Source organism: Homo sapiens, chromosome X (assembly GCF_000001405.40).
Source record: "Homo sapiens chromosome X, GRCh38.p14 Primary Assembly".
NCBI classification, from domain to species: domain Eukaryota; kingdom Metazoa; phylum Chordata; class Mammalia; order Primates; family Hominidae; genus Homo; species Homo sapiens.
This window is the reverse complement of record NC_000023.11, coordinates 71,401,117-71,429,092: the sequence shown is the minus strand read 5'-3', so window position 1 is coordinate 71,429,092 and position 27,976 is coordinate 71,401,117. Positions and strand designations below refer to the sequence as shown.

At 43.5% G+C, this 27,976-nt stretch overlaps 1 protein-coding gene and 1 pseudogene across 29 annotated transcripts in view; one reads left to right on the top strand and one right to left on the bottom strand.

Moving 5' to 3' along the window:
- The window catches only part of TAF1 (TATA-box binding protein associated factor 1), a 164,169-nt gene that overhangs the window by 101,433 nt on the left and 34,760 nt on the right, over positions 1 to 27,976 (bottom strand). For 26 of the 29 annotated variants that reach the window (NR_104391.2, NR_104392.2, NR_104393.2 and 23 more), the window contains 8 exons: positions 27,354 to 27,565; positions 22,347 to 22,455; positions 21,421 to 21,519; positions 20,942 to 21,119; positions 7,717 to 7,784; positions 5,854 to 5,976; positions 5,027 to 5,119; positions 4,855 to 4,939 (listed from right to left, as the gene is read on the bottom strand). Coding sequence is in view for 20 of the 29 variants with exons in the window: in NM_001440852.1 (NP_001427781.1) it covers positions 4,855 to 4,939; positions 5,027 to 5,119; positions 5,854 to 5,976; positions 7,717 to 7,784; positions 20,942 to 21,119; positions 21,421 to 21,519; positions 22,347 to 22,455; positions 27,354 to 27,565 (967 nt within the window). In the remaining 9 variants the exon portion in view is untranslated. Of the gene's footprint in view, positions 1 to 4,854; positions 4,940 to 5,026; positions 5,120 to 5,828; positions 5,977 to 7,716; positions 7,785 to 7,868; positions 7,950 to 20,941; positions 21,120 to 21,420; positions 21,520 to 22,346; positions 22,456 to 27,353; positions 27,566 to 27,976 lie in introns of those variants that run through there. The other 3 variants (NR_104395.2, NR_104394.2, XM_047442406.1) reach the window with 3 other exon arrangements.
- PABPN1P1 (PABPN1 pseudogene 1) lies at positions 8,444 to 9,864 on the top strand (annotated as a pseudogene).

The following is a 27,976-nucleotide window of genomic DNA, read 5'->3' as shown; positions in this document are numbered from 1 at the left end:
TGTGTCAGCCAGAATGGTTTCGATCTCCTGACCTTGTGATCCGCCCACCTCAGCCTCCCAAAGTGCTGGGATTACAGGCGTGAGCCACCGCGCCCGGCCTCCCTGCTTCCTATATGAGGAAAAACCACGGAAAACATATAAAAGATGAAAACAAAGACAATCCTAACCCCATGTCACAGAAATAACCACTATTATCACTCTGGTGTGTTTCCTTCCAGCCTTTTTTGTACGTATATACATCTTTTTTAAAAAAGCATGACTGAGATAAAATAAACATCTTTGTGCTCTGCTTTTCTCACTTAACATTGTGAGCATTTTTTGGTCATTAAGTTTTCCAAAAAAGAGCTTATTAGGTAAATCTGTACCTAATAATTAATTATACAGATGGCACTATAACATCATCCCCTTTATGTCAACTATTCAGGTTAAATAAATCCTTGCTAATATAAGTAACAATATCATGAATACCTTTAACTACATCTCTGATTAGGATTATAATCTTACCACATGGTAAGTACTTACATGCACTATTTTATTTAATCCTCAAAACAACCCTCTTGAAGGGGGGTACTATTATTCTTATTTTACAGATAGGAGAAGCAGAGACTAAGTTATTTGCTCAAAGTCACATTGCTATTAAGTGGTGGGGCCAATGTTCAAATCCAAGTCTACTTGACAATAAAGTCTGTTCACTCAACAATTTATTTTAGTCTCTCAATGTTGCCAAATAGCTTTCCAGAAATCTCACACAATTTTATACTGCCAACAGCAATACGTGAGAGCACCTGTCTCACTACCATTATGTCTACTAAAAAATTGAGTTGGCCAAGCGCAGTGGCTCACAAGGTCAGAAGTTCGAGACCAGCCTGGCCAAGATGGTGAAACCCCATCTCTACTAAAAATACAAAAATTAGCCAGGCACGGTGGCGGGAGCCTGTAATCTCAGCTACTTGGGAGGCTGAGGCAGGAGAATTGCTTGAACCCGGGAGGCGGAGGGTGCAGTGAGCCAAGATCGCGCCACTGCACTCTAGCCTGGGCGACAGAGCAAGACTCCATCTCAGAAAAAAAAAAAAAAAAAAAATTGAGCTAATCTAATAGGTTTAAAAAAAAAAGTATCTCTTTCTTTCAATTGCTTTTTTTTTTTTCTTCCTTCTTAGACTAAGTCTCACTCTATCACCCAGGCTGGAGTGCAGTGGCACTATCTCGGCTCACCGCAACCTCTACCTCCCAGGTTCAAGCAATTCTCATGCCTCAGCCTCCTGAGTAGCTGGGATTACAGGCACCCGCCTCCACGCCCAGCTAATTTTTGTATTTTTAGGAAAGATGGGATTTCACCATCTTGGCCAGGCTGATCTCAAACTGCCGACCTAAGGTGATCTATCTGCCTCAGCCTCCCAAAGTGCTGGGATTACAGGCATGAGCCACCATGCCTGGCCCAATTGCATTTCTTGGATTACTAGTGCAACAGAATATTTATTCATGTTTGTTAGCTATTTAATTTTTCTCTTTTGTGATTTGTCCATCTGCCCTCTGCTTACTTTTTTATTAGTATCTTCTGGGTTTTTCTTACTGTTTTACATAAGCTCCTTGTTAAGTCTGCCCTATGTCCTAAGTCAGCCATCACCAGGTCAAGTACCTTTCTGTAACACTCTTGCTTATCACTTGCTATACATAGTCTTTTTTAGACATCTGTGAGCTTACCAACACTTCTACTGCCAGAATTCTGGGTGATTAGGTGTTTTCATAAAACAATAATGGATAATTGACCCAACAAGGGACATTTCCACTCTCCACTTTCCAATGTGTAATAAGCACAGCAAACTGAGAAAGTACATTCTTTCAACCCAAACCAGAATGAACAAAAATGAAAATCTCATCTCCTTAATGATATATGCATGTTCTAGTTACGTATAGTTCCCTGAACTTGCCCTGCTCTTTCATTCTTCCATGATATTGAACATTGTGTTCTCTGCCCAGAATGCTTATTTCTTCATCAGTCTTTCTGACTGTCCAATCCTTCACCTTTTCTCTCCAGTTCTCTGCCCCTTCTGACAAACTTAACAGCCGTACTACTTACTGCTAAAAATTACAGGAGAAAAGTCTTATAATCATGTGGATTCTTAATTGAGAACCTCAGTACGCCAGATAATTCTCTCAAACGTCCTTAGCTCCCTCTTCTATTTGTTTAAGGAATTATAAGAAATTGTTTCCCTGCTTCATTCCTTCAATGTTTTCCCATTTAGGATCAAGTACAAACTCAAGTATAGCACACAAAATCCTCTATGATTTGACTCTTGCCTGCCTCTCAAAACAGTTATTTACCAGTATGTACACTTGAACTGCAACCCCAACACTGTCTCTTTGTTTTTTTTTTTTTGAGATGGAGTTTCACTCTTGTTGCCCAGGCTGGAGTGCAATGGCGGCATCTCGGCTCCCTGCAACCTCCACCTCCAGGGTACAAGCGATTCTCCTGCCTCAGCCTCCCGACTAGCTGGGATCACAGGCATGCACCACCATGCCCAGCTAATTTTGTACTTTTAGTAGAGACGGGGTTTCTCCATGTTGGTCAGCCTGGTCTCAAACTCCCGATTTCAGGTGATCCGCCGGCCTCGGCCTCCCAAAGCGCTGGGATTACAGGCGTGAGCCACCACACCCAGCCTGTTTCCTAAACCTATCATGCAATTTCAGGCCTCTGTGCCTTTACATATCGCTGTTCTCTCTACCCTAGAACATTTTCTCCTCCACATTCTTTGCCAAGTAAACACCATTGATCTTTCAGAACTCAGCTTAAGAAAACTCTCTTCTGGATGGGTGTGGTGGCTCATGCCTGTAATCCTAACACTTTGGGAGGCCAAGATGGGAGGATGGCTTGAGCCCTGGAGTTCCAGACCAGACTGGGCAACACAGCAAGACCCCCATCTCTATTTACAAAAAAGAAAAAGAAGAAAGAAAACCCTCTTCCAGAAAGCTTCCTCTAACCCCACTTTTTTTTTTTTTCTGAGATGGGGTCTCACTATGTTGCCCAGGCTGGTCTTGCACTCCTGAGCTCAAATGATCCGCCCGCCTTGGCCTCCCAAGGTACTAGGATCACAGGTGTGAGCTACCGCACCCAGCCCCACTCTAATTTAGATATACTGTCCTGTGACACTCTGTGCATGCTTATAGTAATAAAATTTAAGTACTATAATTTTTCTTTTCTGTTTCTCCAACTAAACTAACTTGGAGCAGAGACCATATCTAATTTGATATTAGTAACATCTATCAGTGCCAGCGCATGTAAGTACTCAATGTTTAAAAATTGAGTCATTAAAAACTGAACTATATTAGCTCGTTTATGAAGCCTTCCCTAACTCTCAGGTTATTCCTTGCTCTCGTCTGATGCAATCTGCACATACTTCTATTATAGCTCTTGTCAAGCTGCACTTTACTTATTTATTTTATTTATTTATAGAGACAGGGTCTTGCTGTTGCCCAGGATGTAGTGCAGGGGCGTGATCATAGCTCACTGCAGTCTTGAAATCCTGAGTTCAAGTGATCCTCTTGCCTTAGCCTCCCAAATATCTTAAGACTTCAGGCACTCACCACCACACCTAGCTAAGCTTTTGTTTATAAGTTTTTTATACAGACAAGGAAGGTCTTGCTATGTGTGCCCAGGCTGGTCTCAAACTCCTGGCCTCAAGCAATCCTCCCACCTCAGCCTACCAAAGTGTTGAGATTACAGGTATGAGCCACCATGCCTGGTTCCAAGCTGCATTTTAATTGTCTCTTTCTGCCAACTGGATTGTGAATTACTTGAGGACAGTGACTGTCTTTCTTATCAGTAGATTAAGCAGCTAGCACAGGGCCTGGCATATGTTATTCAATCAACTCATGTACTGAGCAAAACTCCATGCACCAAGGAAGCTCACCATGGTCTATAGCTACCCATTTCCCTAAGCTCCATGTAAGGGCCTGGGACATAGGTGAGTTTTCACATTCCAGGAAAAAGCAGTGATAGCTCAGAGCCCAAATGGATAAAAATCCATTTGATTTTTATGCTCACCTCATTTTTCTGTGCTTTCCAAGATTCCAAAAGTAAGCGTATACTACTTTTTCATCATTAACGGCTAATAGCAATCTTTATAGAACATACACACTAAAATATATGCTTGCTTTAAAAAAAAAGACTGGCTGGGAGCAGTGGCTCACGCCTGTAATCCCAGCACTTTGGGAGGCTGAGGCAGGTGGATCACCTGAGGTCAGGAATTCGAGACCAGCCTGGCCAACATAGTGAAACCCCGTTTCTACTAAAAATACAAAAATTAGCTGGGCATGGTGGCAGGCACCTGCAATCCCAGCTACTCAGGAGGCTGAGGCAAGAAAATTGCTTGAACCTGGGAGAGGTGGAGGTTGCAGTGAGCCGAGATCGTGCCATTGCACTCCTGCCTGGGCAACAAGAGTGAAACTCCATCTCAAAATAAATAAATAAATAGAAAGACTAGGTCACTCAATTGATTCTGCTATCACTGCTCAAGGTTGCTTTACGCACATAAATTTTAATAATACTGGTTAGGCGTGTTGGCTCACACCTGTAATCCCAGCATTTTGGGAAGCCGAGGTGGGAGGATTGCTTGAGCTCAGCCTGGGCAAAATAGTAAAACCCTGTCTCTACCAAAAAAAAAAAAAAAAAAAAAAAAAAGAGCCTGGCACGGTGGCGTGTGCCTGGTTCAGTGAACTATGATCACACCACAGCATCCAGCCTGGGTAAGAGAGCAAGATCCTGTCTCAAAAAAAAATTTTTTAATAATGCTAAGTAATGTTAGATGGATAGAAGATGGACGGATTCATGGAAAGAAAATAATGAGAAATACCCACCATTATACTTAACACTGTTGGCCAGAATAAGGTTTACATCATCCAGAAAGCTCTCCCGACTCTGATACTTGTGCTTGGAGATGTTCTGTGATGAAAAGAATCAGGCACTCAGATACACACACACACAGTCACTTGATTACAAAAAGGCATTTAGATCAAATCACTCACTCACCTTACGTATGGTCTCTAAATCCATTGGATTGACAATCACTTTGTAATAATCTGGAACAAATTTCTTATTAACTGGGTGATGAAATGGCCAAGACTAGTAAATAGAAAGCATAAGAAATTAAATGGAAACCACTCTTCATACGAGAATTTCACCACCTTTGTTGGGTTACAAATATTCCTAAAAAAAGCTATGGACTCTTTTCCTAGAAAAACACATAATCATACAAAACTTCTGTTTATAATGTAAGGGGTTCATAGATTCCTTTAAGGATTTCTATGCCATGATAGGATAAAAACACTTGCTGTATAGTCATAATTAAAATTCCTTATTCCCTAGTCCCAACGAGAAGTTTTATAGCATTACACATATAGAACACATTCCTATAGTACAAAAGGAAACTCTGTTGAGAATTCCTGGGGAGGATCACTGTAACAATATAAAAATGAAATAAAAGACAACCAATGGTGTCTAATTATCAAAGCATCATTTGCTTAGAAGCACCTCTAAATCAAAAGCCTCACATTCGCTAGCATCCTCTCTCTACAGGGCTATTCAGGAGCATTCATATACTGAATGTCAACAACAGGAAGCAAAAACCTCCCTACATCCAAAGATTCCTGGCCTCTTTGATTTCAATGATAATGTACTCTTAAAAAAAAAAGATAATGTACCCATATAGCAAAAAGGTCAATATTTAAAATCACATACCAGTCACAACTGACATACACCACCACTCAGACTCTCCAAAATACACACACGTGTACACCCTAAACATTTTTCCTTTCCCCTGCACGATCCTCACAGTATTTGGCACAGAGACAGCTTACATCTGGAACTGCCATCATTTTCTGGGTGACAATGTTGTCCAGAATGAAAGAAAACGCCACTTGGTCATCATCATCCAGCAAGGGGTTGATAGCTTTCTCTAAGCGAGCTAATTTGTCTTCTTTCTGAAATTAAACAAAGCAAAGCCAAGACAGAGGTTTCCCTAAGGTGTGATCACCATAGAAAAGTTAAGGACAATTTGCCGGGCGTGGTGGCTCACGCCTGTAATCCCAGCACTTTGGGAGGCTGAGGCGGGCGGATCACAAGGTCAAGAGATCAAGACCATCCTGGCTAACACGGTGAAACCCCGTCTCTACTAAAAATACAAAAAAAAACTAGCTGGGCGTGGTGGCGGGCGCCTATAGTCCCAGCTACTCAGGAGGCTGAGGCAGGAGAATGGCGTGAATCTGGGAGGTGGAGCTTGCAGTAAGCCGAGATTGCACCACTGCACTCCAGCCTGGGTGGACAGAGCGAAGCTCTATCTCAAAAAAAATAAATAAATAAAAAATAAATTAAGGATAATTTAAGTTCAGCTAGCTATCTATTACCCTTGCCCCAGAAAGTGTAACTTTGAATTGCCTATGGAATGACAAAAAGTCAAGATAAATGATATTCCAGGCTGGGCACAGTGGCTCACACCTGTAATCCCAGCAATCTGGGAGGCCGAGCAGGTGGATCATATGAGGCCAGGAACTCGAGACCAGCCTGGCCAACATGGCAAAACCCCATCTCTACTAAGAATACAAAAAAAAAAAAAAATTAGCTGGGCGTGGTGGCACACGCCTGTGGTCCCAGCTACTCGGGAGGCCAAGAATCACTTAAACCCAGGAGGCGGAGGTTGCAGTGAGCCAAGGTCATCCCACTGCACTCCAGCCCAGGTGACAGAGCCAGACCCTGTCTCAAAAAAAAAAAAAAAAAATTCCAGTAAAAGGGTCAAAAAGGATGTGTCAACAACTTCTTTAGGTACTCTACATTCTATTCTTCTGGTTCACCAAAATTTATACTTCCCTGAGTGTCAACATCATAGCTCCCCACACACACAAAAAAACATCTTTAGCAATTTAGGCTTTAAGATCATGCTCTCTGTTTTTGCTGTAAAACTACTGCTGGAAACACTAAACATTATTACTGATTAGTGACTTTTGCGTAATGGGACCTAACCCAATAAATTCATTTTAGACTCTAGTAGGAAAAAGTTTGTATTCCTATTGCTCCAAATCCTCATCAACATTTAGTATTGTCAGTCTTTTTAATTTTAGCCTTTGCAGTGGGTATGTAGTGACATCGTGGTTTAAATTTGCATCTCCTCAATAATCAATCAAGTTGAGAATCTTTCCGTGTTTACTGGCTAGTTGTCCTCTTTTGTGAAATGTCTACTTCATACTTACACTTTTGTAGGTTTATAAAGTACCATTAATTGTTTTCAGTAAGAAGAGGGAATATAGATAGATTATCATTTAAAAATTAAAACTTCTAGCACTTGCTGCTTGGTTGGTTAAAAATATGAAGAAAAAATGAAAATTCTTCCTAAAACATTGACTGGTCTCTTAGCTACAGCTGACTTCCTGGAAACTCACTTTCCTTTGCCCTTTCTAATGAGTTATGTAGGTGCTGGATCTTAATTCTAACTTTGTTAATAGTCAAGATGTCCAGAGCAAATACTTTTCTTCTACGGGCCCAGTTTTTCCATCTACAAAAGGGACTGGCCTATGAGTTCTATAAGTCCCTTCCAGCCTTCACATATACTAAAGATCTGCTACTCCCGCATATATTTTTCCTTCTGTTAAATTCCCTACTTCCTAAACCCTGATATCCCACCCCCACCTTCAAATTCCACTGCCTTTCTCTCATTCTAACTGTCTTACCTCTTTGAGTTTTTCATCACAGAGATCCAGCATGGATTGAGAGATCTGAGTCAATGAGTGTTTTGGCCCTGTAGAGGAACAGAAAGAGATGAAACCACTAATAACGGGAGGCAAAAGCTGCCAACACTTCTTTATCCTTTTAATGCACTTACTTAAGAACCTAAAATGTGTCAGGCACCAGGCTAACTGATGGGTTAGACAGATACACCAGACTTATGTCCATTTTCCAGCACCTAAAACATAGCAGTTACACAATATGAATGAATAAACTAACTTTAACTCTTTCCTTGTGTGTATCTACACACAGTAGTACTACTGCTGCTTTTAATACCTCAAACATAATACTATGGAAGGGGAGCAATAATTTCTTTAAGAATGCCTAAAGAGTGAGCAGGCGGCAGCGGGCGGCTGGGGCTGCAGGCGGTCAGGCCTCCGGGTCAGGGCGGTGGCGCCATCTTGTGCCTGGGGCCGGTGGGGAGGCCGGGGAGGGGGCCCCGGGGGGCGTAGGGGACTACGGGAACGGCCTGGAGTCTGAGGAACTGTAGCCTGAGGAGCTGCCGCTGGACCCCGAGCCGGAGCCCAAGCCTGAAGAGGAGCCGCCCTGGCCTTGCGCCCCCCACCCCCACGGGAGCTCCAGGCCTGGTTCGGGAGCCCCTGGCAGCCAAGAGGAGGAGGAGGAGCCATGACTGGTCGAGGGTGACCCGGAAGACAGCGCCATTGAGGATCCGGAGCTGGAAGCTATCAAAGCTCGAGTTAGGGAGATGGAGGAAGAAGCTGAGAAGCTAAAGGAGCTACAGAACGAGGTAGAGAAGCAGATGAGTATGAGTCCACCTCCAGGAAATGCTGGCCCAGTGATCATGTCATTGAGGAGAAGATGGAGGCCGATGCCCGTTCCATCTATGTTGGCAATGTTGACTATGGTGCAACAGCAGAAGAGCTGGAAGCTCACTTTCATGGCTGTGGTTCAGTCAACCGTGTTACCATACTCTGTGACAAATTTAGTGGCCATTCCAAAGGGTTTGCATATATAGAGTTCTCAGACAAAGAGTCAGTGAGGACTTCCCTGGCCTTAGATGACTCCCTATTTAGAGGAAGGCAAATCAAGGTGATCCCAAAATGAACCAACAGACCAGGAATCAGCACAACAGATCGGGGTTTTCCAGGAGCCCGCTACCATGCCCGGACCACCAACTACAGCAGTTCCCTCTCTCGATTCCACAGTGGTTTTAACAGCAGGCCCCGGGGTCACGTCTACAGAGGCCAGGCTAGAGCGACATCATGGTACTCCCCTTACTAAAAAAAGTATGAGGAGGAAAGAGAAGAAAAAAAGAGGACAGAAGGGGAAAAAAAAAAAGAATTAAAAAAAATACAAACAAAAAACAGAAGATGACCTTGATGGGAAAAAAGTATTTTTTTAAAAAGATATACTGTGGAAGGGGGGGAGAATCCCATAACTAACTGCTGAGGAGGGACCTGCTTTAGGGAGCAGGGGAAGGCCCAGGGAGTGGGGCAGGAGGCTGCTTATTCACTCTGGGGATTCGCCATGGACACGTCTCAACTAGCAAGCTGCTCCCCATGTTTCCCTGCCCCATTTCACCCCCCTGGGGGCTGCTCAAGGGTAGGTGGGTGTGGGTGGTAGGAGGTTTTTTTATTTTTTAGCCAGGGCTCTGGAAGGACACCAAACTGTTCTGCTTGTCACCTTCCCTCCGTCTTCTAACCTTTCACAGTCCTCTCCTGCCAGCTCCTGTCCAGTCAGGTCTACCACCCACCCCACCCCTCTTCTCCGGCTCCCTGCCCCTCCAGATTGCCTGGTGATCTATTTTGTTTCCTTTTGTGTTTCTTTTTCTGTTTTGAGTGTCTTTCTTTGCAGGTTTCTGTAGCCGGAAGATCTCCGTTCCGCCCCTAGCAGCTCCAGTGTAAATTCCCCTTCTCCCTGGGGAAATGCACTACCTTGATTTTGGGGGTTTAGGGGTGTTTTTGTTTTTGTTTTTTTTTCCTTTGCCTTTTTTCCCTTTTATTTGGTGGGAATTGGAGGAAGTGGGAACAGGGAGGTGGGAGGTGGATTTTGTTTACTTTTTTAGCTCATTTCCAGGGGTGGGAATTTTTTTTTAATACGTGCGATGAATAAAGTTGTTTTTGAAAATACAATAAAAAGAAAAAGAATGCCTAAATAGACCGATGGGTGACTTGTAATTTTCCCACACTTAACATATAAAATTTGTGATTGCAACTTTTGTTTGTAGAATTTACGGTTTGTGGTGTTCTAATAACATCGGGTTAATACAAGCCTATGTTAAAAAAGAATCTCTGGGCTGGGCGTGGTGGCTCACGCCTGTAATCCTAGCACTTTGGGAGGCCGAGGCAGGCGGATCACCTGAGGTTGGGAGCTCAAGACCAGCCTGACCAACATGGAGAAACCCCGTCTCTACTAAAAATACAAAATTAGCTGGGTATGGTGGCGCATGCCTGTAATCCCAGCTACTCAGGAAGCTGAGGCAGGAGAATCACTTGAACCCGGGAGGTGGAGGTTGCGTGAGCCAAGACTGTGCCATTGCACCCCAGCCTGGGCAACAAGAGTGAAACTCCATCTCAAAAAAAAAAAAAAAAAAAAAAAATCTCCATACTGATCCCTATCAGAAGCTTCAGAAAATCCTTGAACTATCTGACCTATCTCCTACACTCCCTGCTTATGAATGCCCTAATTTAAGCTCATCATAAAGCAGCTAAAATATTTTCATCTAGCAAGTAATTCCAATTACTTCTTTTACATATCCTTTGCTAGATTGTATTCCTCTGTCTATCCTTTTGTGTTAGTGCTCCCCAGAGCCAAAACGTCAGTTCTATTCTCACTTATTATTTAATTCAGCATTCACTTGTTTATTCATTTAACAAATGTTTAATGACTGTGTACAATGTGTTCAATGATGGGAATATAAGGAAAAATAAGACAGACTTCCTGCCTATGAGACTTATTGGCTTAGGCCAGACACAGTGGCTCACGCCTGTAAACTCAACACTTTGTGAGACTGAGGCAGGAGGATTGCTTCAGCCTAGGAGTTTGAGACCAGCCTGGGCAACATAGTAAGACCTCACCTCTACAAAAAAAAATTCAAAAATTAGCTGGATGTGATGGCATGCACCTGTAGTCCCAGCTACTCGGCAGGCTGACACAGGAGGATTGCTTCGGCCCAGGAGGTCAAGGCTGCAGTGAGCCAAGATTGTGCCACTGCACTCCAGCCTAGGTGACAGTGAGACCCCATCTCAAAAAATAGAACAAAAAAATAAAGATAGTTGCTGGTCTAGTCAAAGAAATGACTTGAAAATAAATTATTGCAAGACAGAGTATAAATGCTTTAAGTATTTATGGATGAAATAATACAAAAGCTGAAAATATATACTAGATTGACCATATGCTAACAAAGTGTTGAACTGACTGAATAGCACTGAAGTTTACTTCCTCTTTTATTTCTGTATGTGTCTAACAATTTCCATAATTTTTTTTAAAAATAGAGTATTAGTATAAATAGAGGAATATATTGGTTGCCATGAATTATGGAGGAGCTGCATATGAGATACAGATGCTCCTTGACTTATGATAGGGTTACATCCCAATAAACACATAATGAGTGGAAAACATCATAAATGCATTTACTGCTGACAGCACAACACAGTATGCTATAAGTTGTTTTACAACAACTGTATCTGCTTACTGGGGCCGGGGGTGGTTGCTCACGCCTGTAATCCCAGCACTTTGGGATGCTGAGGTGGACAGATCGCTTGAGCCCAGGAGTTCGAGACCAGCCTGGGCAATGTGACGAAACCCTGTCTCTACAAGAAAAAAAAAATACAAAAACTAGCTGGGTGTGCTGAAGCACACCTGTGGTCCCAGCTACTCGGGAGGCTGAGGTGGGAGAATCATCGAGCCCAGGGATACTGAGACTGCATTACGCTGTGATTATGCCACTGTACTCCAGCCTGGGCAACAGAGTGAGACTCTGTCTCAAAAACAAAAAACAAGAAATTTCTTATAATTATGGAGGCTGAACAGTCCATGGTTGAGGGGCCACAATTAGTAAGAGCCTTTTTGCTAGTGGAAACTCTGCAGAGTCCCGAGGTGGCTCAGAGAATCCCATGGTGAGGGGGCTGAGCATGCTTGCTCAGGTCCCTTTTCCTCTTCTTATGAAGCCACTAGTTCCACTCCCATATTAACCCATTAATCTATTAATCCATGAATGGATTAATTCATTCATGAGGACAGGGTCCTCAAGATCCAGTCACTTCTTGAAAACTCCACCTCTCAATACTGCCACATTTGGGCATTAAGTTTCAATATGAAATTTTTTTTTTTTTTTTTTTTGAGACAGGGTCTGGCTCTGTCACTCAGGTTGGAGTGTTGGCCAGGCTGGTCTTGAACTCCTGACTTCAAGTGATCTGCCCTCCTCAGCTTCCCAAACTGCTGGGATTACAGGCGTGAGCCACCGTGCCCGGCCTGTCCCTAAGAGTTTTACTCTGGTTCAGCAACTGCCTAAGTTGCACTGTTGTTCTGGAAGCAGTCACTTTGAGCAGAGGTGTTGGACACTGGATGATACCTAGAGGAAGCTGGGAAAATGAGTTGCACAGACAGTAATTGTTGTAGGAATTCAGAGGGGAAATACATTTATCCAGATCAGGAAAGTCAAAGAAGGCTATTCTCGAGGAAGGTGGTGATGACTGTGCCCCTTTTCTATCGACCTTGTGTGTTTGATCCTTATGCCTATTCCTAGATGGAAAAAGAACCGGCTGATGGTCAGTGAATACCCTGGGGTGGTTTCCTACCAGAGTTAAATTATGCTCTGGACTTATTTTAGCTGTGGAACCTGTGCTAAAGAAGACTTCTAGGTGGGAGGCCTCGCCACTCAGAATTGGCTCTGTGTGGGCAGAGAGCAACCCCTAGTGGGCTTGTGGAAAGCATACTCTGAAAGCCACGTTTCTTCTTCTTTTTTTTTCTTTTTGAGACAGGGTCTCCATCTGTCATCCAGGCTGGAGTCCAATGGTGTGATCATAGCTCACTGCAGCCTCGATCTCCCAGGCTCAAGCAATCCTCCCACCTCAGCATCCCAAGTAGCTGGGACTACAGGTACGTGCCACCACGCCTGGCTAATTTTTTTTTATTTTTAGTGAGACAAAGTCTCACTATATTGCCCAGGCTGGCCTCAAACTTCTGAGCTCAAGGAATCCTCCCACCTCAGCCTCCCAAAATGCTGGGATTACAGGCATGAGCCACACACCCGGCTCACTTTTCTTTATTCTGACCAAAATGAGGTGTTGTGTTTGTTTTTGCCTATGATATGGGCCTAATGTAGACCTTAGCTAATGAGACAACAGAATGGGGGATGTCTCTATTTCCCCAAATCCTCAAGGTGAGAAATAAATTGATTCTCAATTTTTTTTCTGTAACCAAATATATATGATTATTTAATGCCCTTTCCTCTGTGCTCTGACACTTAAAGAAGTCACTGCTATAAGAATTAGGTCTGAAATTAGGGCAGTAGTTAAGAACCTACAGAAAGTAGAGTACTTCGGGACCTAAATTGAGGGCAAGGCATTGATGGGGTATTAATATGGGGGTATAAATATAGGAACTCATAATAAACAAGCTTCTTGGAGATCATCTCTGCCATATCATTTACTGTGAAATACTGATTCATGAAGAAATGGATGAGTATGGTGGCATTAAGACCTGTAGTTTTACTCACATAAGGTTGAAGGGGATGAGACTCCTGGTTTATCTAGCATTGTAACCATATTACAGAATTTTTGCCTTCTCCAGTAGTAGAATAGTAGAATTATTAAGAAGACATAGTAGCTTCTAACACTTAATGAGTACTGGCTATGTGAGAGAGACTAATAAGTACTACGCATGCCTTCTTTCATTTAACCCTCAGGTTAAAAATTTTCTCTGGCTGGGTGCGGTGGCTCATGCCTGTGATCCCAGCACTTTGAGAGGCAGAGGCGGGTGGATCACTTGAGGCTAGGAGTTCAAGACCAGCCTGGTCAACATGGTGAAACCCTGTCTCTACTAAAAATGCAAAAATTAGCTGGGCGTGGTGGCACATGCCTATAATTCCAGCTACTCGGGAGGCTGAGGCACAAAAATCGTTTGAACCCAGGAGGCAGAGGCTGCAGTAAGCTGAGATGCACCCCTGCACTCTAGCCCGGGTGACAGAGCAAGACTCTGCCAAAAAAAAAAAAAAAAAAAAAAAAAAAAAGACAAAACTTTCCCAAGTTCACAAAGATTAGAGGGAGAACTGGGTTTTGCCTCCTGACTTCAGAGCCCAGACTCTTAACCATTTCTTTTTTCTTTCTTTCTTTTTTTTTGAGACAAGAGTCTTGCTCTGTCACCCAGGCTGGAATGCAATGGTGTGACCTTGGCTCAATGCAACCTCTGCCTCCTGGGCTCAAGCAATTCTCCTGCCTCAGCCTCCTGAGTAGCTGGAATTACAGGTATGTGCCACCGCGTATGGCTAATTTTTGTATTTTTAGTAGAGATGGGGTTTTGCCATGTTGGCCAGGCCGGCCTCGAACTCCTGACCTCAGGTGATCTGCCCGCCTCCGCCTCCTAAAGTGCTGGGAATACAGGCGTGAGCCACCGCGCCTAGCCCTCTTAACCATTTCTCTAGCTGAGTGTGACTTGTCTGCCTTTCTCTCCAGTATTGTGATGTCTCTGTTTTTCAGGAATGGAGGTTCCTCTGCTGGCTCTATAGCCAGAGACCCAAAGTGACAGCCATGTTTCTTGATTCAACCCTGGAAACCTTCTATGATAATTTTTAAAAATTACTAACCATTTATTAAGCACCTACAATATTTTAGTACCTTTGATACAGTAGATCCAGACCTTATGATAACGGTGTAACACAAATACCTATGTGGATGAATGGTTTTTAATCTTTTTGAGCTCACCCAAAGATTAAAAAGCCTTCTGTGAGATACTGGTGACAGCTCTGGACCTTCTTTCCAGAAAAATTCACTTATGCACATATACATAGTATTGTACACAACTTCAGAAGAGGCTTCTAGGACCTACCGAAGCCCATCCTCTAGTAGTCCACAGACTCCAGGGTAAGAACTCTTGACTTATACAACCCTTTGTAGCTGACTCTTGTATGGCATTAAGGGTATAGAGAGTGTGGGGGGCATCTTATCTTCCTCATCTTCTCCTCAGAGAGAAATGTTTAGAATAGCTCCCTACATTAACCAAGCATCTCTGAATATTCTTTCTGTCTCTCTTGTACATAGGACTACAAGGGAAGAATGCAGACAATCAAATGTGTGGTTGTAGGAGATGAGGCTATAGGTAAAACCTGCCTCCTCATCAGTTATACAACAAATGTCTTTCCTGAGGAGTATATCCCCCCACTGTCTTTGACAATTATAGCGTCCAGACATCCGTGGATGGGCAAATCGTTAGCCTGAACACGTGGGACACTGCTGGCCAAGAGGAGTATGATGACTGCGAACACTCTCCTAACCCCAGACCAGTATCTTTGTTATTTGTTTTTCCATTGGCAACTTAGAATTTCCAATTTATGGGACTTGGTTATCTATGAGTATGGGGAAGTGAAGATGGAATAAATTATGACTATGATTTCTAGGATGTACAACTAGATAGACAATCAGACAATAAGTTGCCAGTTGGGCAATGAAAAATGGACATGTCTGGCAGACAACTAGAAGCACAGGTATGGAGCCCTGAAGAGAGGTATGGGGCTGGAGATAGTGATGTTAACAGATATATTATGGCTGAAGTAATGAGAATGAAAAGGCAAGGAAATGATTCGAGAAAGTATTTCTGGAAAAGGGAGAAGACAGTATCAAGGAGGAAAAAGTGGTCAATAGTGGCAAATGCACAAAAGTTCAAGAATGGTATTTCTAACCATATGCAAAAATTTTCAGCATAATTAGTCAATAGGGAAATGCAAATCAAAATTACAATGAAATACCACTTTACACCCACTAGGATGGTTAGAAGGAAAAAGATAGACAATAACAAGTGTTGATAAGGATATGAAGAAACTGGAACCCTTATACACTGCTGGTGGGATTACAAAATGGTGCAGCTGCTCTGGCAAACAGTTTGGCAGTTCCTCAAAAAGTTAATTAAACATAAGAGTTACCATGTGGACTCAGCAATTCGGCTCCTAGGTACAGACTGAGTATCCCTTATCTGAAATGCTTGGGACCGCAAGTGTTTCAGATTTCAGGTTTTTTAAGAATCTGAAATATTTTGGAATATCTGCAAATATGTGAACATCCCTAATCCGAAAATTAGAAATCCAAATGCTCCAATGAGGATTTCCTTAGAGCATCAAGCAGGCATTCAAAAAGTTTAAGATTTGAGCATGTCAAGTTTTTGGATTTGGGATGCTCGATCTTTATATACCCAAGAGAAATAAAAACAAGTGTCCCTTAACTGTCTTACTTGCCTGACAAATAAAAAAAATTAAAATTAAAAAAAGCAAATGCGTGGTTCATGCCTGTAATCGCGGAACTTTGGGAAGCCCAAGCGGGTGGATCACAAGGCCAGGAGATCAAGACCAACCTGGCTAACACAGTGAAACCGTCTCTACTTAAAATACAAAAAATTAGCCAGGCGTGGGTGGCACGCGCCTATAGCCCTAGCTACTTGGCAGGCTGAGGCAGGAGAATCGCCTGAACCCAGGAGGTGGAGGTTGCAGTGAGCGGAGATCGTGCCACTGCACTCCGGCCTGGGCAACAGAGCAAGACTCTGTCTCCAAAACAAAAAAAACCCCAAATGTCCACACACAAGTCTGTACAAAAATGTTCACAAAATGTTCACAGATGCATTATTTGCATTAGCCAAAATTATAAACAATCTAAAGGTCCATCAATTGACAGACAAAATGTGGGGCATCCATACAATGGAGTATTACATGATTAAAAAAAAATGAGGTTGGGCACAATGGCTCATGCCTGTAATCCCAGCACTTTGGGAGGCCAAGTCAGGAAGATCGCTTGAGCCCAGGAGTTTGAGGCCAGCCTGGGCAACATAGTGAGACTCTTGTCTCTACAAAATAAAAAATAAAAATTAGCCAGGCATGGTGGCATGCGCCTGTGGTTCCAGCTACTTGAGATGCTAAGACGGGAGGATTCCTTGAGCCCGAGAGGGTGAGGCTGCAGTGAGCTATGACTGTACCACTGTACTCTAGCCTGGAAAACACAGTGAGACCCTGTCTCAAAAAAAAAAAAAAAAAAAACCAGGAATGAAGTACTGATACATGTTACAATATGGATGACATGTTAAAACTGACCACTTTAGCCAGCCGGGCGTGGTGGCTCATGCCTGATTTAATCCCAGCACTTTGGGAGGCCGAGGCGGGCAGATCACCTGAGGTTGGGAGTTCAAGACCAGCCCAACAACATGGAGAAACCCCGTCTCTACTAAAAATACAAAATTAGCCGGGAGTGGTGGCGCATGCCTATAATCCCAGGTACTTGGGAGGGTGAGGCAGGAGAATCGCTTGAACCCAGGAGGTGGAGGTTGCGGTGAGCTGAGATCACGCTATCGCATTCCAGCCTGGGCAACAAAAGCGAAACACCATCTCAAACAAACAAACAAACAAAAAACCTGACCACTTTAAATGGTTAAACTGCATGGTACGTGAATTATATTTCAATAAAGGTGTTTAAATAAAAGGTTACTTCTGAAAGGTGGCCAGTGGATCCAGCAATTAGGATGTAGCTGGTACTTCAGCAGAAGACAAGTGCAGGGTTGTGAGGCATAAACAGTAAGTGAAAAAGTGGAGAACAGTATATGGAGCATGGTGGTTAAGAGTACAGGCTCTGACGTTAGATATAACTGGATTAACATCTCTACTTTATCTTTTTTTTTCTTTTTTTTGAGACAGAGTCTCGCTCTCTCGCACAGGCTGGAGTGCCATGGTGCGATCTTGGTTCACTTCAACCTCCACCTCCCAGATTCAAGTGATTCTCATGCCTAAGCCTAGTGGTGGCTCATGCCTGTAATCCCGCCACTTTGAAAAGCCAAGGTCAGTGAATCGCTTGAGGCCAGGAGTTCAAGACCAGCCTGGCCAACATGGTGAAACCCTGTCTCTACTAAAAATACAAAAATTAGCCAGGCGTGGTGGGGCGCAGCTGTAGTTCCAGCTACTTAGGAGGCTGAGGCAGGAGAATCGCTTGAATCCCAGAAAAGGAGGAAGTTGCAGTGAGCCAAGATTGTACCACCACACTCCTCCAGCCTGGGTGACAGAGTGAGACTGCTTCAAAAGAGAAAATCAGCCGGGTGTAGTGGCTCACGCCTGTAATCCCAGCACTTTGGGAGGCTGAGGAGGGCAGATCACCTGAAGTCAGGAGTCCGAGACCAGCCTGGCCAACATGGCAAAACCTCATCTCTACTAAAAATAAAAAAATTAGCCCGGTGTGGTGGTGCATGCCTATAATCCCAGTTACTCAGGAGGGTGAGGCAGGAGAATCGCTTGAACACAGGAGACAGAGATTGCAGTGAACCAAGATCGCAGCACTGCATTCCAGCCTGGGCGACACAGCAAGACTCCATCTCCAAAAAAAGAAAATCACAAATGTAGATTAGAAATGCCCCTAAAAGGCCGGGTGCAGTGTCTCATGCCTGTAATCCCAGCACTTTGGGAGGCCGAGGCGAGTGGATCACGAGGTCAGGAGATCTAGACCATCCTGGCTAACACGGTGAAACCCTGTCTCTACTAAAAATACAAAAAATTAGCCAGGCGTGGTGGCTGGCGCCTGTAGTCCCAGCTACTCGGGAGGCTGAAGCAGCAGAATAGCATGAACCTGAGAGGCGGAGCTTGCAGTGAGCCAAGACAGCGCCACTGCACTCCAGCCTGGGTCAAAGAGCAAGACTCCGTCTCAAAAAAAAAAAAAAAAAAAAAGAAAAAAGAAATGCCCCTAAAGGTAAAGTCATCTTCCTCTTTTATTTTTTTTTTTAGTACATGTGCAGGATGTGCAGATTTGTTACATAGGTAAACGTGTGCCATGGTGGTTTGCTGCACACATCAACCCATCACCTCATCATAAAAAAAATAAATTTTTTTAAGCTATTTAAACACTACGGGCCTGTATGTTCATCTGGAAAATGAGGGTTATAACAGTATCCATTTTAAAGATTTCTTATGGTGAAATAAAGAAAAGAATGCGGCCGGGCGCGGTGGTTCATGCCTGTAATCCTAGCATTTTGGGAGGCCAAGGTGGGTGGATCACAAGGTCAGGAGTTCAAGACCAGCCTGGCCAACATGGAGAAATCCCGTCTCTACTGAAAATACAAAAATTAGCCAGGTGTGGTGGTGGGCGCCTGTGATCCCAGCTACTCGGGAGGCTGAGGCAGGAAAATCACTGGAACCTGGGAGGAGGAGGTTGCAGTGAGACAAGATGGCGCCACTGCACTCCAGCCTGGGCGACAGAGCAAGATTCCATCTCAAAAAAAAAAATAAAAAGAGGTAATATGAGTTGGTCTGGAAATATAGGGAAGAAAGGCATCCCAGAAAGAGAGCAAAGACTGAGAGAGCAAAGACTGCAAAGTCATGAAGAAATGATAAGGGATATTTTGTGAAATATAATGCTGAGTGTGGCAGGGGTCGATAGTGGGTATGGGAGCCAGTTATTGGAGATGGAAAGTAGATAAATGGGTTGGGCCTGCTTGTGAAAGGTTTTAAAATTCACGTAGTACTACTATCCCATGTTTACAGATGAGAAAACTGAGGAGGGTATGAGAAGTTAAATAACTTGTCTATGGTAACTCAATTAGTAAGTGCCAGAGCCATGATTTACACTCTATCTGTACTCCGAATCCCTACATTTATATCTGTGAATCTGTGCTCAAGGATGCAAATGGAAACCAGAAAACCTTATCCTTTACATGCAGAAGCTATACTGTTTCCTCTTTTTAAGACACAGCAACAGGCCAGGCGCAATGGCTCATGCCTGTAATCCTAGCACTTTGGGAGGCCGAGGTGGGCAAGATCGGTTGAGCTCAAGAGTTTGAGACCAGCCTGGGCAACATGGCAAAACCCCATCTCTACCAAAAAAGTACAAAAATTAACAGGGTGTGATGGAAAGCACCTGTAGTCCCAGCTACTCAGGAGGCTACTGGGCAACAGGAATGAAATCCTGTCTCACAAGGGAAAAAAAAAAAAGACAAACAGATTTCTTCCTCTTTGTCTTCTCAGCTTTTGAGCAAAGTGAACATGTAACAGCACCTCTAACAAATTTGTAGACCAAATCGAAGATTCAGACACAGCAAATATGGTCACAAGCGCATACTCTACACAGGTTCCATCCACACTGAACGTCTCTCTCTCTTTTTTTTTTTTTTTTGAGACGGAGTCTTGCTGTGTTGCCCAGACTGGAGTGCAGTGGCACGATCTCGGCTCACTACAAGCTCCGCCTCCTGGGTTCACGCCATTCTCCTGCCTCAGCCTCCCGAGTGGCTGGGACTACAGGCGCCCGCCACTACGCCCAGATAACTTTTTGTATTTTTAGTAGAGATGGGGGTTTCACCATGGTCTCAATCTCCTGACTTTGTGATCCGCCTGCCTTGGCCTCCCAAAGTGCTGGGATTACAGGCGTGAGCCACCGCGCCCAGCCGAATGTCTCTCTTTTGTACTAACCTAGGACCACGTCTTCCACTACTTTCCATGGAACTGTTTCATTGCAACGAATAGACTCCAAATTCTCCAAAGGATATAAGAATTAAACAGTGGGAATAAAAAGAAGTGACATTAGGCCGGGCGCAGTGGCTCACACCTGTAATCCTGGGAGGCTGAGGCGGGTGGATGACGAAGTCAGGAGTTAGAGACAAGCCTGACCAACATGGTGAAACCCAGTCTCTACTAAAAATACAAAAATTAGCCAGGCATGGTGGCGCATGCCTGTAATCCCAGCTACTCGGGAGGCTGAGGCAGGAGAATCGCTTGAACCGAGAGGCGGAGGTTGCAGTGAGCCAAGATTGCGCCACTGCACTCCAGCCTGGATGACAGAGACTCCAACCCCCTCCTTAAAAAAAAAGAAGTGATATTTATTAAATGACTGAAAATGTACATTACCTGATTTTCATACCCACAAATGAATGCACAAATACACTGTAGTCCTCTCAGTCCAATCTAGTCTGAATTTAGGGCCAGTAAGGAATAAGGATCTGAACAGTGACCTTTGCAATCACGGAACATTTGATTCTTACCATTGTAGGTTGCACTATTTTTCACAATTAGCTCCAGATGCTCTCTGAACTCTTCCCGAGATGGGTAGAGGCGTTTACGCACGTTTTCGCGGAGTGTTTGTAGGTCCATTGGCCGAGTGATGATTTTGTAGTAGTCCTTTACAACCTTTGCATTGACTGGAGTGTGGAAAGGGTATGTCTGCAAACAAGGGCCAGAACCATACATCAGCAAATAACAGTTGCCAGAGCCAATTCCTGAAGACTTTCACATCTTACCTATCTACCTGGCTATCAACACTGAAAGGAATCTTTCTAGATGGAGCACGTCTGTTTCCTCTACTAAACTGCTTAAAAAAACAAACAAACAAAAAAAACTAACTCCCTAAAAATTAGGCATTCCAGTTACCTAAATCTACAGATTACTGCCCTCTATTGGAAATCACAGACAGAACAAAAGGCCTTGACATCCCTACTATAGATATCCAATGCAATGAACTCACATTTGGAAGATCTCTCATGTCATTGATGATAGACTCCAAGATGGACGACAGCGTCACCATAGGGTCTGTGCGGCGCCGGTGGATGGACTTATGAGGTCTCTAAGGAGAAATGTGAAATCAGAATGCTTCCTCAGACCAAAAAAAATCCACATTCTGTCCAGGCACAGTAGCTCACACCTGTAATCCCAGCACTTTGGGAGGCTGAGGTGGGTGGACCACTTGAGGCCAAGAGTTCAACACCAGCCTGGGCAACATGGTGAAGCCCCGTCTCTACTAAAAATACAAAAATTAGCTGGGTGTGGTGGCATGTGCCTGTAATCTGAACTACTCAGGAGGCTGAGGTAGGAGGATCACTTGAACCTGGGAGGCAAAGGGTGCAGTGAGCCAAGATCACACCATTGCACTCCAGCCTGGGTAACAGAGCGAGACTCTGTCTCAAAAAAAAAAAAAAAAAAAAATCTGCCGAGCACGGTGGCTCACTGTAATCCCAGCACTTTGGGAGGCCAAAGCGAGTGGATTACCTGAGGTCAGGAGTTCAAGACCAGCCTGGTCAATAAGGCAAAACCCCATCTCTACTAAAAATACAAAAATTAGCTGGGTGTGGTGGTGTGCACCTGTAATCCCAGCTACTTGGGAGGCTGGGGCAGGAGAATTGCTTGAACCTGGGAGGTGGAGGTTGCAGTGAGCCGAGACTGTGCCACTGCACTTCAGCCTGGGCGACAGAGTGAGATTCCGTCTCAAAAAAAAAAAAAAAAATCCACTTTCTCTAACTAGACAAACATATTTTAGAAATCTTATAATGAACAGTACAAATAATTCTCAGGGCAAGGCAACTGGAGAATCTAAGGCTGTCAGAGCTGTGGCATACAGGGCTGGGGAATCAATGATAACCTACCTAATCAGAAGGAAGCAATGCACATACTCACATTCAAATAGTCACAGTGAACAGTGGTTCCAACTCGCCGTTTCTTCTTTGGAGGAAGCTGCTGTTTAGGAAACTTGAGAACCAGAGATTTTCTGCGAACCTCATCCGCACTAAAATCAAAACACTTTAGTTAGATACAGCCCCTATTTCTAGTTCCCAGGGGGAAAAAAAGCAACTATAATTAAAAAAAAGTCCAAGGTACCTAAGCACGAGCCTAGCGAGGAAAAAGCCAAACCAAAGGCCAAACATCCACCTTCTAAGGTTCAGATCAGGCAAGCCCTCATAGGCTCTCCAAGTTAATAAATAACTAGGCAAGTCACAATTTTACCTCAGTTTCCTATTGGGAAGATAAGGAAACCAGACTAAAGAATTTTAAGAATCCTTCTAGTTCCAACATTCTCTTTTTTTTTTTTTTTTTTTTGAGATGTAGTTCGCTCGTTACCCAGGCTGGAGTGCAATGGCGCAATGTCAGCTCACTGCAACCTCCACCTCCCAGGTTCAAGTGATTCTCCTGCCTCAGCCTCCCAAGTAGCTGGGATTACAGAAGCCCACCACCACGCACAGCTAATTTTCGTATTTTTAGTAGAGACAGGGTCTCACCATGTTGGTCAGGCGGGTCTCGAACTCCTGACCTCAAGTGATCCACCCACCTTGGCATCCCAAAGTGCTGGGATTACAGGTGTGAGCCATCGAACCCAGCCCCAACATTCTATCTTAAATGTTAAAAGGCTAGGTTCAGAATGGAAACAAGAAATTAAAAACTGGTTTGAAAACAGAAAACAAACTAGTTTGGGCTTCCCTCAATCATTAAAGCTCATTCACCTTCTTCTTTTCCACTATAAGGGACCATGGTATCACATTTTTTCTTCTTCATTTTTTAAATTTAAAAACTGTTTTTTCAGTAATAGAGACAGGGTCTCACTATATTGCCTAAGCTGGTCTCAAACTCCTGAGCTCAAGTGATCCTCCCACCTCAGCCTCCCAAAGTGCTGGGATTATAGGCATGAGCCACCACGTCCGGCCCATCTTCCTCTTCTAATGTGTTTCAAAAAACAATGACTATTACGGATATTAGTAATTAAATCAACAAGGATGGAGGCTGGGTGTAGTGGCTCACGCCTGTAATTTCAGCACTTTGGAAGGCCCAGGCAGGCGGATTGCCTGAGCTCAGAAGTTCGAGACCAGCCTGACCAACATGGTGAAACCCCATCTCTACTAAAAATACAAAAATTAGCCTGGCGTGGCAGCACGTGCCTGTAGTACCAGCTACTTGGGAGGCTAAGGCAGGAGAATCACGTGAACCCAGGAGGCAGAGGTTGCAGTCAACTGAGATTGCACCACTGCACTCCAGCCTGGGCATATAAAATAAATCAACAAGGATGGGAAAAGGAACCCAAAACTGAAAACAAACACATAAATGACTGTAACTGTATCAAATTGATTTCTTAAATTACACACAAAAAAAGAAGTGATTCAAATATGTTTGGAAGGCCGGGCATGGTGGCTCACGCCTGTAATCCCAGCACTTTGGGAGGCCGAGGCAGGTGGATCACCTGAGGTCAGGGGTTCGAGACCAGCCTGGGTAACCTGGTGAAGCCCCGTCTCTATTAAAAATACAAAAAACTTAGCTGGGCATGGTGGCGGGCACCTGTAATCCCAGCTACTCGGGAGGCTGAGGCAAGAGAATCTCTTGAACCTGGGAGGCGGAGGTTGCAGTGAGCTGGGATTGCGCCACTGCACTCCAGCCTGGGTGACAGAGCGAGACTCTGTCTCAAAAAAAAAAAAAAAAAAAAAAAGTTTGGAATAACCTAACTATACCTCAGTGGCATGTAGTCCAAGAAAAATAAACTACAAAAACCATCTTGAACCTACTTTATGGGTTTGTTGGTGGTAGTGGTATTATTATAGTAATTCTGAAACTATTTTGTACATATCATAGGACAGAGCAAATTTCTCAATAAATATATTGATTTCTAAGTAAATACATACAGAAATTAAGTTATTTCTTGAGAATGGATACAAATATGAAATAAGGGAAGATGAGAAAAAAAGATCTATAAACTAAATTGGAGGTATCAGTATAAAGTTGTAATTTAAAATATATGTATACCAGCTGAGCGTGGTAGCTCATGTCTATAATCTCAGCACTTTGGGAGGTGGAGGCGGGCAGATCACCTGAGGTCGGGAGTTCGAGACCAGCCTGACCAACATGGAGAAACCCTGTCTCTACTAAAAATACAAAATTAGCAGGGCAAGGTGGCACGTGCCTGTAGTCCCAGTTACTCGGGAGGCTGAGGCAGGAGAACTGCTTGAACTGGGGAGGTGGAGGTTACAGTGTGCCACACTCCAGCCTGGGTGACAGAGCAAGACTCCGTCTCAAAAAGAAAAAGGAACCTGGGCTTTTGGAGAAATGGCCGACTCTAGGTATATAGGATAGGAAAATTTGAAAGAGAGCTTTTAACATCTTGTGCCAGAAGGCTGGGCGCGGTGGCTCACGCCTGTAATCCCAGCACTTTGGGAGGCCCAGGCAGGTGGATCACGAGGTCAGAAGTTCAAGACCAGCCTGGCCAACATGGTGAAAACCCATCTCTACTAAAAACACAAAAATTAGCCAGGTGTGGTGGCACAGGTCTGTAATCCCAGCTACTCGGGAGGCTGAGGCAGGAGAATCCCTTGAACCCGGGAGGCAAAGGTTTCAGTGAGCCGAGATTGCGCCACCGCACTCCAGCCTGGGCAAAGGAGGAAGACTCTGTCTCGAGAAAAAACACAAAAACATCTTGTGCCAGAAAGCAAGGAAGTTCTCAAATATTTATAGGGTCATTAAAAAAAAAAAAAAGAAAAAAAAAACACAGGATCTGGCTTGAGGGAGTCAAATTTGGGACACTATGTGAGCATCAAAATTAATTATGTTAAGGAATTATAAAACATTAAATTTCCAAAGGAAAGAATTTCAGAATCCATAGTAATACTTGGAAAGGGAGAGTAGAAAGCTCTTTTTTATAGAAAAATGTTAGCTAATGTTGAAGAAATGCTAGAATTAGAAAAATTACCATTTTGGAACCCCCACTGAAATAACTGAATAAAGCAATGGTCATCAACCGATGCTAAAACTATTAAAAGATTGTCAGGGAACAGGATATTCATCAACATGTTAATTATAAAGAAAAAACATATTTTATTATAGGATCTGAGGATCACCACTTTAACAAGATGATCAAAACAGTGGGAAAACCTGACATTATGTGCTTGCTGATATAGTACAGTAAGCATATCACCTAAATATGACATTAAATGTCTTGCCAACAACATTTAATTGGAATCTGATCAATGAGAGAACAGACAATTCCAGAATATGGAATATTTTGAGGCAATTGGCCTGGAATCTTCAAAAAATTCAATGTCATGAAAAACATAAATGGGGCTGGGTGCAGTGGCTGATGCCTGTAGTCACAGCACTTTGGGAAGCTGAGGCAGGAGGACTGCTTGAGCCCAGGAGATTGAGACCAGCCTGGGCAACATGGCAAAATCCTGTCTCTACAAAAAATACAAAAATTAGCCAGGTGTGGTACTGCACACCTGTAGTCCCAACTACTCCGGATGCTGAGGTGAGAGGATAACTTAAACCTGGGAGGCGCAGGTTGCAGTGAGCTGAGATCATGCCCCTGCACTCCAGCCTGGGTAATAGAACCAGACCCTATCTCAAAAAAAAAAGAAAGAAAAGAAAAGGAAAACATAAAAGGTAGGGAAAATCATTCTAGATTAAGAGAGATTCAAAATATATTTAATGTTTGAACTGGGATTGAATCCAGAACTGGGGACGGAAGCAATAAAAGACACTGAGACAACTAGGGAAGACTAAATGAGACCTGAATATTATATATTATTACATTAATGTTAACTTTCTTAGGAGTGAAATATGATGCCTGCAACTTAGTTCCAAATGATTTAGGAAAAAAAAGTTTTAGGTATATAAAGATGAAGCAAATGTGACAAAACGTTAACAATTAGTGAATTTAGAGGAATTATATATTATATTCTTTCAACTTTTCTGTAGGTTTTGCCATTTTCAAACTAAAAAGTTAGGGGAAAGAACTTTACAACTTCTCCATTTTATTATCTATTAAACTCTCTGAGGGCAAGACACAAGTATAAGCACAGTTTCTATGTCTCATCCATCTTTTGGGATGGTCCTTTATTAGAACACTACGAGGCCGGGAGTGATGGCTCACGCCTGTAATCCCAACGCTTGGGGAGGCCGAGGTGGGAGAATCACTTGAGGACAAGAGTTTGAGACCAGCATGGCGAAACCCTGTCTCTACTAAAAATACAAAAATTAGGCCGGGCATGGTAATCCCAGCACGCCTGTAATCCCAGCACTCTGGGAGGCCTAGGCAGGCGGATCACTTGAGGTCAGGAGTTTTGAGTCCAGCCTGGCCAACATAACGAAACCCCATCTCTACAAAAATACAAAAATTAGCCGGGCGTGGTGGCGTGCGCCTGTAATCCCAGCTACTCGGGAGGCTGAGGCGTGAGAATCGCTTGAACCCAGGAGGCAGAGGTGGCAGTGAGCCACTGCACTCCAGCCTGGAAAACAGAGCAACACTTTGTCTCAAAAAAAACACAACAAGATTAGGGACCTTGCAAATATTATAAGTGTCTAGAAGTAGAACAAGAAGAGATAACTGACATCTACTATATGTCAGGCACTGTACTGTATGCTTTGTAGTCTGTCTCATTTTATCTTCTTAACTATCCTGGTAAAGGTGGTTTTATTTTGTAACTAAGGAAACAGACTCAGAAGTTAGGCAGCATGCTCCAAAACAAGTGGTACAACCTAATCAGCGCTATAATTTTCATTACTGGCAACAATAACTGAGGAAACGCCATCAAAATTCCTGTTCCTTCAGTTCCACTTCAGAGAACACATCACATCTACCCCTGCCAGCCACCAATATAACCAACCTCAAATAAATCTGTCCCATAGCACTTCCTGCCTGGTATCTCTTACCTCTCAATTAGCTGTTTCCCCAAGACAATTTTGGTCCCTTCAACCTTGATAAGTTCTTCATTATCATTATGAATGACTGTCTTTTCCAACTCCTCCTCCTGTTCTTCTGTCATGGCAACAGGGTTGGAAGGTGGCGCATTTGTTTGATAATAGAGGGGGCAGAATTTGTTAGTCCTCATGTGTCCAATGGCACCACATGCCCCACATTTCAGCTGCAAAAGGAAAAGTATCAAACACGTCAGAGGTAAGTAGGCTGAAACACATATCAGAGATAAGCAGGTAAGAAATAAAGTCATCCCTCAGTATATGCAGGGGATTGGTTCCAGGACCCCCAAGTATACCAAAATCCACACATAGTGAAGCCCATATATACAAAAAGCCAGCCCTCCATATACACAGGCTCCACGTACCACGATCCACGCATAAGTGGAACCATGCAGTTCAAACCTATGTTGTTCAAAGCTCAACTGTACATACAAGATGGGAAAAACAAAGTCAGCTTCAGAACTTTTGCTCTAATAGAATTGTTATGCACTGATCAACCAGAAGCCACTAGACAAATCTGCATGTATGGAAATGACACATAGAAAAAAAATGAAATCCAGAGACTAAACATTGCTTTA